Source organism: Homo sapiens, chromosome 12 (genome assembly GCF_000001405.40).
Source record: "Homo sapiens chromosome 12, GRCh38.p14 Primary Assembly".
NCBI classification, from domain to species: Eukaryota; Metazoa; Chordata; class Mammalia; order Primates; family Hominidae; genus Homo; species Homo sapiens.
In genome coordinates this window covers 51,455,753-51,468,330 of record NC_000012.12, presented here as the reverse complement: position 1 = coordinate 51,468,330, position 12,578 = coordinate 51,455,753, and the positions used below count along the sequence as shown (strand labels likewise).

The window sequence follows — 12,578 nt, the reverse complement described above, 5'->3', positions numbered from 1 at the left end:
AAGTGGATGGATTCAAGAGCTAATCAGGAGGTAGAATCAACAGGACTTGGTGGCAGGACTTCAGGGCCCCTCTCCTCTTCTCAAAGATGAGACAGACCAAGACCAAAATATCCCTAAGGAGGAGATGTGTTCCCAATTCAATCACTTTTTCTAAGAGTGGAGTCACTGCACCAGGGTGAGGGCTGTCAGGTGAATAACAAAAAGAGCCACTCGGCATTTTATAGCACAAATCACCTGGCTTCTTCTACCAATAAATGGCATAGAAAAAAAGGAAAAGGGACTATTACAGAATGGGAACATAATAACCAAATGCAAACTTTGACTCCTATGTCAAACAAATGAACTCTAAAAAGATGTTGCTAACACAATCATAAAAAGTTTAATAAGAACTGAGCATTAGACAATGTAAAGAATGATTGTTAATTTTGTTAGATTTGATAATGGCATGATAATTTTTTTAATGTCCTAATTAAAGAGATGCATACTGAAGTATTTACAGGTAAAATGTATGTCGGTGATTTGGTTTAAAATAATCTAGAAAACATAAAAATAAAATTAAGTGAGAAGAAATAGATGAAACAAGATTGGCAAAATGTTGGTAATAGTTGATGGGTACATGGGGGTTCATTAAACTATTCTCCCTTTTTTTTATATGTTTGAAATTTTCTATAATAAAAAGCTATTTTTAAAAAACACACAAGCTACTCTCTCACGGAAGGAGGCTTGGCAAGCTCTTTCTTTCCTTCTGTCACCTAGAAGCCTGGAGGAGTATGAGGAGGCCTGGGATCTGTATGCTAGGGGAGAAGATCCAGCCAGCTCTTTCTCCTGGAACACTCTCTCTCATCTAGCTAGTATAATGGGTATCCAGGTGGACACAGGACAGACACCCACCTGCTCTTTTCCTCTGGTTCTGGTGGGTATAGTTGGGATTCACCTTTCCTCAGCTTACAGCAGTAACATCATAATCTGGGTCTGGGCTTAGGGAAGAGAAGCAAAGCCAGCCTTGTGACCTGCCTTAGTTTTAGCCTATCTGGCAAACCTAGCTCAGGTAAAGAAGCTATCTACATGGTCTAGCCTAAATCATGAATTCTGCTTCAGGGTTTGGGACCAATGCTTCAGTTAGTAATAAAGTGTCACTTTGTCTTGCTTTCTCCTCTAGGTAAATAGCCCCTCAATAACCTTGCAGGCAGCAATAATTTATCTGGGGCAAGACTCAAGTATTCCTGGGTTCTTAGCTAACATAGCATCTTATTACCATGCGATTATTACCTCTTCATTACCAGTCACCTTCCTCTGGAAAGCATAATTCTGTGAGAAAATATCCCTGCATAATAGTGACCCCCTACACACACATACACACATACACACACACACACACACACACACATACTCTGAGGCTACCTGAGATGCTGCAATGAATACTCAGCCCCTAGACACAGGAGGACAGGAGTGTCTGTGAGCAACAGACAAAAGATTTATGTGAAATGGATTTCTAAGAAGCCATAGAAAGGGAAGACATCTGTCTGTCTAGCAGTTATTAAAAGGCGGGGAAAGATCTGAGGCTCATATGGATGGTATAACTATAAATTAATAAAATAATTTCTGAACACTTTATGGAGTCAGCCTCATACCTCATTCATGCATAAAATCAGACTATGATTGCACATCTACAACAGATATTCATCAGGCATGGATGCTTCTTTCTGTACTTGGGATTTCCTTTCCCTTTCAACACTGCCCTTCACATTCAAGTTTTCTGGGGCAGGAGGCACACAGGGATATGAGTTTAATTTAAGTTTGATGCAAGAGAGGACTTACCCGCGTAGAGGGTCACTAGGCTCTGGAGCATTGACTTAAGGAGCCCTTCCCTGGAGGGCTTTAGAAACAGGCCAGCCATCCATTTGTCTGGTATACTTTGGAAGAAACCTGTTTGAAGTGTGGGGGGATCATCGAGATAGCAGCTCCTGATTCTTTTTTCCATTAACCCTTCCCAAAAGTGGCATCCCCAATAAGGGACAGAAATATACCCTGAAAAACCCCTTTCCAGAGCACCCTCCTTGCTGTGGAGCTTCCGGCCTAGGAACACTCTAGTCATATTTCCTTCTTTGTTACTTATGGCATCCCTGCCTTAGTCAATATCAGGGAGGTTTAAGATCTGTCTTAACCCTGGCTTGGAGGGTCAGATCATACAGAACTCAGAGTACCATTTCAATTTTGTCTCCTTTCCCATCTTCTTAGAGTCTACTTCACCCTGCCTTCAAATACTTCTCCATCCAACAAGGATAACATTCCGTAAGATGTTATCCAAGTCTTGCTCCAAGGTTGTGCAACATGACAAGCATAAAGCAGTTTTGCATCTCCAAGAAACACAACTAATAGTCCGAAAAATTATAAAACCCAGACTAATGTGGTTTTAGTTTGTGCAGTCCAGGAAAGTACAGAAACTTATAGGATGTCCATATACAAAAAAGACTCACATTTACCTCCCACATAATTTGAGACTGAGAAAGAGGCCAGAGCTGGCCTGGAAATGTGATTCTCTATGCAGCCATTATGTCACCTTGCCTAAGGGGCTACAATGGGAGGAAGGTCATATGGCTTGAGGCCCTTTACTAAGGGCTCTAAGAAAAATGACAGAAGCTCAGAAAGAGGAAGCATCTCCCATATCAAGCAGAGCTAAGCTCTGAGCCCAGAGCTTCCTTTTAGCTTTGTCAATTCCAGAAGTTCCTGACATGACATTATGGGAGAACTCCTTCAAACTCCATTTGAATTTGTGAGTTAAGATACTTGCGGTTTGTGAATAAGAATATGATGATCCTGGCAATATGGGATTTTCTTGGGGACATCAGACACCATTACCAAGATCTTATAACTGTTGAGATCCAATATAATGGTCTCCCAAACCCTCAGGTGGAATTGATTATAAGTGACCACCTCTCACAAAGCCTGGGATGCTAATCTATTTGTTTTCTTTGGCACAAAGAGCAACCTAAAATCTCATCTCTGCACAGATATTGGTTTGAGGAAAACCTTGTTGCCCTAAATTCTACTACTTTCAAATTCTAAGTTCCTAAAGTGTGGACACCCTTTATATCCAAAAGATAAATTATAATTTTGAAATATCAAATCCATACTCAAAACCTTTTCCTGAAAAAAATTACCACCTCCTCTAGGACAGTCTCAATCCTGGAACCCCTTCTGAGGACATATGCTTCCCTTGAACTGCCTCTCAATACCAGGCCTCCCCACCCAATTCAGATCTCTCCCAACTTTAAAGAAAATGTTTTTTAAAAAGGGAAGGCTGCTTCCCCTTTTCAGTGGCCCTTCCATTGCAAGGACTCCTTCTTTCCACCAATGCTCCCTCCCAGAGCACAGCTATCTTCCCCTACCCTCCAATACATTCTTCCTACCAGAAAACATGCTTCTCTGCAGGACACTGCTAGTCAAGTGCCATTCTCTCCTGTTTCTGTCTCCTCTCCTGGTTTCTCCCTGAATTTCCAAGATTGGAAAAATAAAATGCTTTCCACAATTCCAAAACAACTCTGAGTTTCCACTGGGTAGAGTGCTGAGGATAGAAGAGTAAGGAAAGCAACCTCAAGCAAGGAGGCAGAAAAGAAGAAAGCAAGGGGTTAGAGGACATAAAAGCTAATTTCCATGATCTCAGTCCTGCCCTGAGAATCTCTACCCAGCAGAACCTTCTTAGACACAGCACAGCTTAACAGAGACAGAGCCATAGTCTCAACCTTCTCTGGGGACACCCCTGGATATCACACTAACCCAAAATATCATTCTCGTTTACCACCTTCTGACCTAGGGAATAAAACCTCCTACTCTGGGGACCTGCTTCCCTCACTTACCTCCTCCTTGGACATCTGTCCTTAAAATGTTGGCCTAGAAGAGTAGATTGCCTATTCTGAGGCACACACACCTAAAATAGTACCTATCTTCCTACCCTAAGGGAGTTTCTTAACCTAAAATGATCACTCAACATTTATCATACCTAGTCCATTCCATGCTACAGAACAGACATTATTCTAAAAATATTCATTCATTTGGCAGACATTGAGAGCCTACTCTGTTCAGGGCACTGTGCTGGGTCCTAGGAATATAATAGAGCCTCTGCCCTTTTGGAATAAACAGCCTAGCAGAAAAGACAATAGATCAACCAATAATAATGAAGTATGATAAAGGCTGTAATGTGGGGAAGGGAGGGTCAGAGCTCAATACTGTGATATTACATAGCAGGAACACCTAACCTCATCCAGAGAGAGTCCTAGAAGGCTTTCCAAAGGAAGTGACACAAGAACCGAGACTAAGGGTACGTAGGAGTTAGCCAGGAGATGAGGAAAGGGAAGAGTGTTCAAATCAGAGGGAACAATGGTAGGAAGGACTGGAGGTGAGACAAAACATGGTAGGTGATTTGAGAAACTTGAATGAATGAATACGATATTTGATATATTCATAATACTTCTAGTCAGTGGTTCCATTTGAAAAGTCATTCTTCAGCCAATAAATTCCCACCACAGAGAAGTAGGCTGAAAGAAAGAAGATGCCTCATTCCTTTGCATAACTTCTACCCAATAAGCAGCATCGCTGTGAAACGTCCCAGGACTTACCGCCCAGTGCGCTGAAGTTCTGGCCCACTGTGACCCCCATGTGGTTCCTGTTCTATGTGGCAAACATTTCCATTTGGAACTCCAGGCATTTTCCTTTTCTCCTTTTAACAGAAGACCACAAAATTAGTAAAGGTAACATCTATCTTTTCGTCCTGCTATCAGCAGGGAGTGGGAATGGGATAACCCAAAAGCAACCAAAAATGCCCGTGTTTGTAGCTTTCAAATACACTTACTGACTTGATGCAGTTTATTGACTTTACCGAAACACACACACACACACACACACACACACACACACACACACCCCATAATTTCTCTTCCTGTTCCATAGTACCTGACTCCTAACTAAGCCTTGCCTAGAAAGAGAAAAATGGGGCTTTGGCATTAGATATGACCTAAGTTCCAGTTTCATATCTGCCTCTGTGTAATCTTACTTTACCTTAAAATCTTGCCCTAGAAGACAGTTTTATTCCTCATTTTGTAAAACTAGAGATAACAATATCTTTTGAGGGATGTTCCTGGGAAGGCTGAATTTGCATATATAAAGCACCTGGCTGCTGTCTAATACACAGTAGGAGTTCCTTTCCCATCTCTAATATGTCAGAAAAATATCAGACATTCTATCTGCTCTCTCTATACAACTTGCTTTTTTCATTTGATGACTTGTATACAATGTAGTCACAAGAAATGTTCTCCCTTCTCTCTTCTATTTCACATTATTCCTTCAAAATTTGGCTTAAAATTCATTCCCAGGTAATCCTGACTGACCCCATCACACCTGAGCCAATTTATGCTATGCAAATTCTTTTTTTTTTTTTTTTTGAGGTGGAGTCTCGCTCTGTCACCCAAGCTGGAATGCAGTGACACCATCTCAGCTTACTACATCCTCCGCCTCCCGGGTTCAAGCGATTCTCCTGCCTCAGCCTCCCAAGTAGCTGGGATTATAGGCACCCACCACCACGCCCAGCTAATTTTTGTATTTTTAGTAGAGATGGGGTTTCACCATGTTGGCCAGGCTGGTCTCAAACTCCTGACCTCAGGTGATCTACCTGCCTCGGCGTCCCAAAGTGCTGAGATTACAGGTGTGAGCCACCACACCCAGCCCAGATTCATTTTTATTATTGTTTTGATATTCTAGGTGCACCAAAACAGAGCTGCATCTTGATATATTTAGCATATACCCACATGGTCTTTGCTTTGTCCATGGTGGGCAGTCAGTAAGTGACAATAGCCACATTGGCTGATGTGCATACATTACCTGGGAAGGGACATTTTTGGGTGGCTCAATTCTAATGGAGGGATCCCACTCTCCTGGAGGGAGCACCGTCACCTGGTCTAGGAACTCATCAATCCCCGCCAGGAGATCATCTCGCTCTTTTGCCTTATATGCTACGTCATGAAAAATCTACAGAGAAGAGAAAACCCTCAGGAAAGTTAAAAGTAACTTTACATGAAACAATCACCAATGGATATGGTGAAAAATGAATACAACCTGTTGATTTTTATCTCTGTCACGGGGATCTGAGATGCAGAAAACTTTAGCACTTAGAGAAGTGCAAGGATAAAAGGATTTAAAAAACAAGCGTGGAAATGAGATGCATTAAAAGAACTAAATACATGTCTGCTAGTATAAGAAGAGATAAGACATGAGTCTAAAGTTGTACAATTATGTTATCTCCACAAAGGATGGAAGGAAAGGCAAGATATATGAAAAAAAAAATTTTAATCAGCTTTCCCACGTTGAGAGGGAAATTTTCTTGATCTTAAAGGTTGGAAACACTGGATGGAATTACTAATGAAGGTCCTTCCTGAATTAAGCCTCTCAATCAAAGAAAGCTGATAAAAAACAGGCCACACCTCCCTCTGCCGCCTAAGGCATATGCCTTGAAAGCCCTACTTTGCAGCTTACCGAGCAGTGCAGTCCTTACCAGAGTATGCACTGTGGGTTCAATGTCAAAATGTCAAAATATCTGGTTGTTTTGGTACAGACTAGTCAAGACATTCACACTACACTGCCTGAGGTCACACCCATGACCTTATACAAACTGGTCTCATTTAGTGGAACAGGAGTGAGGTTTCTTTATGTAAATAGCTTGAATGTATTTAATTAACCATCTTCTCTTGAAAGTTAAGCCAACCTTAATATATTTCTCTATATATCCTACTTGGCAATAATAGTTTCCCCAGAAAAAGATTTCTCTGCATTCTTGATTACTCAAAAAAGGAGAGATAACATAGGAAGAAAAATCCTCTAGAGCTTGGTCCTTCCACACTGGGCTCTCAGAGAAGTACCCTGAACTACTTCCCAGCAGATATTGCAATGGAAAGTATTTTATCCCCAATAACTAGCATATTGCCTGGCACAGAGTAAATATTCAATAAATATTTATGAGATGGAAGACTGAAGCAAAAGTTGCACATACCTCATCTGTCATGATGGTGGCCATGGATCTGCCAATCTCATGGTACTGCTGACCTTTCCCTACTGGACCCAATAAGATAAACAAAAATCTGGCAAAACACACAGAGGAGGAAATTATGTAAGTAAATATAAAGAAGTGCCATTAGTCCTCTCTAAACAGTATAAGATTTCTCTCTCTTATCGTACATAAATCATCACTGTACCTTCAAAAAAAAAAAAGAAGACAGTAATGAAGGAGCACTTTGAGTTGCCTTGACCTAATAATAGCTCCACTATGGGCATTGGAAGCTATTGTGCGGCATCATTCAATAATGTGATTACATTTCTTAGGGTTTCCATAGACACAATTCCTAGCTGTAGAAAAGATGCTTTTTCAAAACATGGCACTGTGGTGCAAATTCAAGGTTGTCTGAATTCCACTTATTGTTCTAATCAGAAAATGATGGGGAGAGGAGAGGGATAAGGAAGTTGAAATGATCAAGCCTTACAGAGGAGTCTAAATGTGTTCTGGACATCTGAATACTCTCTGTAAGTAGCAGGGCTCTGAATCACCAGCATCACCACCTTCAGAGCGCATGAATAGCCTTTTGAACAAATGTTTGCATATCTGCAAACCATACAAACCATGCCAGAATTGTGCAAAGGGAAACAAATACCTTTATTCAGAGACGTTCCCCTGGAATATGGCTCTACAGAACTGAGAAGATAAGACTTGGCTTCCTATTTTAACAAGTTATTGGCCCTTGCTATGTCCTTTGAATGGTCTTCAATTCTCTATTTCCAAGGCTATAGATACTGTGCAGTCATAGCCTTAGAAATAAATCTCAGAATTCCTCTTCATGGTGGTTAATCAAATATACCTCAATTTTCTGAGATTACTGCTGATTTTTTTTTTAAAAAAGACAGGGTCTCACTCTGTCACCCACACTGGGGTGCCATGGTGCTATCCTAGGATTCTAGCTCACTGCAGGCTCAAACTCCTGGGCTCAAGTAATCCCCCACCTCAGCCTCTCTAGTAGCTGGAATTAGAGGCACACACCAGCACATCTGGCTTTTCTGCTGAATTGTAAACACCATTCCTAAAATTAATTAATTCTAAATTTCAGTATTAAGTGGTTTCTTCTACCAGCACTACATAAATTTGAATTTTGGATAGAATGCATGAGTTTTATCTTTGCCTTTACCTTGTTGGGATTGGCACTTCTGTTAGGCCTGAGAGAAGAACAGCTGGAGACAGCCTCACAAAGGCAACAATGGGACGGTCCAAAATATCCACCTCTCCAACCAGGACATTGGAGGCCTCGGCCCCAGTAGGAATTTTTTTCATGAAATGAAGGTCTACCTGAAAGTCCAAAAGAAACATCTGACAACTTGGGAACCACCACCTTAAATATCGTTTTTAAATTTTTTATTTACTTTTTTTTGAGACAGAGTCTCACTACATCACCCACTCTGGAGTGCAGTGGCGCAATCTCAGCTCACAGCTCTCTGCTGCCAGGTTCAAGCAATTCTTGTGTTTCAGGCTCCCTAGTAGCTGGAATTACAGGCATGCACCACCATGTCCAGCTAATTTTTCTGTATTTTTAGTAGAGATGGGGTCTTGCCATTTTCGCCAGTCTAGTCTCAAACTCCTGGCCTCATGTGATCCACCCGCCTCAGCCTCCAAAAGTGCTGAGATTACAGGCGTTAGCCACTGCACCTGGCCCCATCACCTAAAATATATCTTACACTCATATGTCATTTTATGGTTAGCAAATGTTTTCTTATTTTATTTGATCCTTACAAAAACCCCAGAAGGAGGATATGACAGATTGTATTCGTCCCACTTAAAGAAAAAAAAAAAATGAAGTATTTGAAACCCAGAGAGGTGAAGTTGACTTGCCCGGGACCACAGAGCTTTTAAGGTATAGGTTCGGATTTTAAAATCAGGTATTCTGATTTCAATCCCATTCCCCCAAGCTTCCTCCAAGAGAAATGTTTCTGAAGCTCTGGGTCACATTCTTTCCCTTTTTAAACACTCAAATGTTTTGTCGGGGGTTTCAGGTTTTCCAAATAAAATGGGAAGCCTTATGAGCAGAGGAAGTGATATGACACTATCTGTGTTTTAGAAACACAGTGTCAAAGATAGACCAGAGCAAGGAGAGGCTGGAGGCAGGGAGACCAAGGCTTGGACCATAAGCTGCAGTGAGACACTGCTGCTACAGAAGGCCTCAGATACCAAAGTCACAGTCCTCAAGGAGAGCTTCAACCAAGAGTTAGTTTTAGGAGACATCTGTCTCTAAATAGATATCCAAAATATTGTTTTGGCAAAACCCCTGGGGGTGAGAAGGAACTGCTGGAGAGCAGGTACCAAAAAAATAATTGAAAAATCAAGAGATCTGTTTTAGGGAAGATTCTAAGCAGCTAGTCCCAGTTTTCAGTATGTTGAATCTGGAGAAAGAAACTGTTGAGTCAGCTTCATCCAGGCTGAAGGAGAAGGGAAAAGACATGCAGAGATGGGCCCCCTTTTATGCAGAAAGGGCTCTAGTCTTAGGGAAAGAGTCTTGAAACACTAAACCTTACCCAGATTCCAGCAATTAAACTCTGGATTCCACTAAAAGGAACCTTAGGCCTTGAAGCCAACTTCCCACCACTCTGCTCACCTTGCTTAAATCCACAGGACTATGTTCACAATTCACTCCATTTTTTACTTCAAGATTTGTAGTTGGAACAGACTGAGGAGACACGGTTTGACCTATTTGGAGAAAATAAAACAAAATCCTGAGTCCCTGCCCTTTTCCCCTTCTGACACATCCCACCCATCATCAGTTGGTTCTGCCTTCTCCTGCAAAGCCTATCTAGAAAAGAGGTTAAGATGACTACGAAGTCAAGACCCACACACATCTTTCTCCTTATCTACTAGTTAGTGGTAAGGAAAGGACAGAGCTCTTGCTACTTCTGCACCTTCTTTCTGAACACATTTATGACCCTCTTTTATTTCTCTATTAAGGCAGTAATCCTTCACCAGACATGCATATGAGAGACCCCTATGGAAAACTTTTCAAAAATATAGATTCCCAGGCATATCCCCTGCACATGGTGATTCACTATGAGTAGAGACCAGGAAATAAATGTAGATGAGACCCTTCCTGGCCACAGGAAAAGGAACCAATCAGTAGCCAAAATTCTGAGTGATTATAATCCACCATGCATCTGGCTAAGGGCCTCACATGGATTAACTCATTGAAGTTCACAATAAATGGAGTAGGTGGAGTAGGTCCTATTATTACTCTTACTTTATAGGTAAGAAAGTGAGACTTAAAGAGGCTTAGTAGAGTGCCCAAAGTCATACATTTTGTGAGTGGTAAAGCCACAATCACAAGCCTACAAGTCTGACTCCAGAGCCTACTCTACTGTATTTTGCCTCCCTAATCTAAGATATTTGTTTGCTCCTAAAAAGCTCCAGTTTACCTTCTCGGGTCTCAAATTGTCCCCAATGTGGCTATCTCTCAAAAGCTACATCAGTTCTGAGGCCACCCTGGGGCATAAGTCCCTCACCTTGGGTCCGCTGAGACCTATCTGAGGAATGCCGTGAGAGAGAGATGAGCACCAGTCCCAGCCACCAATCTTACCAGTCTCCAAAAAGTACTAAGTGCCTAAGTGGACATGGAAACATATTAGACAAATACAGCCCCCACCCCTAGTAAGTCAGCATCTCCAACTAGTTCCCAATGTCTTATTAATAAAGAGAGAAAAATCACCTAATAATCTTACCATGTTTATCCATCAAATGAGGATCAGACTGCTTCTTGCCAACCTCAGCAAAGGAGCGAACAATGGGAATGAGGTTGTTTCTCTTCTTTTCATTCTGATGATGATGCTTTTTGAGAAGGGCTTCCCGCACTTTAACCCTCATGCTGTCATTCAGGTCACTGGACAGTTCTTGCTGATCCAGGATCAGGTCTGGAAAGCAGGCACTCACATGAACACTCAGATTGAGGGTTAATGAACCCAAGAAGGCCAACATCAGGTGGAGTGGGGTAAAGGGCATGGAGTAGGGGGAAGCAGCTCCACTAGGGTCATTGAGGTGCAATTTCAGCTTCCTGTCTGAAAGTGCCATTTGATGATAGTGACTGTGAAAAGTTATACTTTATTCATGTAACAAATTATTCTTATTGGGCATAGAAACTATTGAGCACTAGTACAACAATTTTTACAAATGAGGAAATTAAGGCCCAAATGCTAGAAAATTCTCCAAGGTCTTACATCTAGCAGTTTGCACAGCTGGGATTCAAATTGAGGACTGTATAATTTGAAAGCTCACATTATTACCTGCTTTGTTCTGTCATCTGCCAAATTTCCCCTACATTTCCTTCCTCCAAGATTTTAACATTGCTGTAATTGTCAAGAAGAACTATAACTGTAGAACTCCAAAGGGCTATTTAGAAGAGAAATCTATAAGAAAAATTAAGTTAACTAACCACTCACCCCAGACAATTACCACCAAGCATCACATTTAAACCTATCAAGCCCAACAGATTTGAGGAGGAAAAAAATCTCAATACCTAGTGTTAAGTGGCAGTAAACATAGCAGTTATCAGTATGAGTTCTGGAGTTAAAGGCCCACATTGTTTCCCTGTTCTACCACTTTTTAGCTGTGTGATCTTGAGCAAGGTATATAATCTCTCTATACCTCAGTTCTTCATCTGTAACATGGAGCTCATATTATCTGTTAAAAGGTTGTTACAGGAAATTAAATGAGATGATATACAGTGCTGATTTCCTTTTAGGCACTTTACCTATCAGTATCCCTAAAATATTATGAACATATTAGGTACCTGATGTGAAGAATCATAGCACTTTTACTTCAGTCCTATGCACTTCTTCAAAAGCCTCCCAAAAATCTGAACCTATCCTCAATTTCTAATTCTATTCATGACTATTCAAGTACTAGAAGAAATAAATGAGGAAAATCTATTTAATATTCAAGCTGAAGAGCCATATTTCTGTATTTTTAACCTTTATATTCATTGTTTCCTTCCCCCTATATTATAATCATGCTTCAGGACCCTTCATCTTGGGGGAAAAAAAAGAACATCCACCTCATGTCTCCCTCTATCTATCACCTCCTGTCTCTCTTATCACTTAAAGTTATCAGAAGAAAAATTATCCATCCCTTACTGACACTGCCCACAGTGCAGGTGATCTCACCTGAACTACTGCAATAGCCTAATGCATTTCTCCCATCAACTCACCCTCCATATTGCTGCCATCATTATCTTTCTAATATGCAAAATCTGATTGATCATTACCCTGTCCAAAACTCTCCCGTGACTGCTGTTGTTTACAAAGAGTTTTAAACAGCTTCAATAGCTCCCAGGGATTCTTCTCCCTAACAAACAACCTTTTAAGGAACATTCATGGGATTTCAGACAAATAGTCAAAAGTTAGCAAAATGTGACTCCAATGATGAACATGAGAATTTCATTTTTCCCAGGCAGTCAGAGTGATACTTCTGGGGTACCTCCCTGAAAAAGAGGGGGGCCCAATGTCCCATCAGT

The 12,578-nt window shown here is 41.1% G+C and overlaps 1 protein-coding gene across 13 annotated transcripts in view; it reads right to left on the bottom strand.

The window, feature by feature from the left end:
• SLC4A8 (solute carrier family 4 member 8) overlaps window positions 1–12,578 on the bottom strand; it is a 124,318-nt gene that overhangs the window by 47,433 nt on the left and 64,307 nt on the right. For 12 of the 13 annotated variants that reach the window (NM_001405270.1, XM_011539011.2, NM_001258401.3 and 9 more), the window contains exons 6-11: window positions 10,792–10,980; window positions 9,681–9,772; window positions 8,223–8,380; window positions 7,040–7,127; window positions 5,875–6,021; window positions 4,617–4,717 (exon numbers count right to left, since the gene is read on the bottom strand). In NM_001405270.1, coding sequence (NP_001392199.1) covers window positions 4,617–4,717; window positions 5,875–6,021; window positions 7,040–7,127; window positions 8,223–8,380; window positions 9,681–9,772; window positions 10,792–10,980 — 775 coding nt within the window. Of the gene's footprint in view, window positions 1–891; window positions 1,779–4,616; window positions 4,718–5,874; window positions 6,022–7,039; window positions 7,128–8,222; window positions 8,381–9,680; window positions 9,773–10,791; window positions 10,981–12,578 lie in introns of those variants that run through there. The other variant, XM_011539014.4, reaches the window with a different exon arrangement.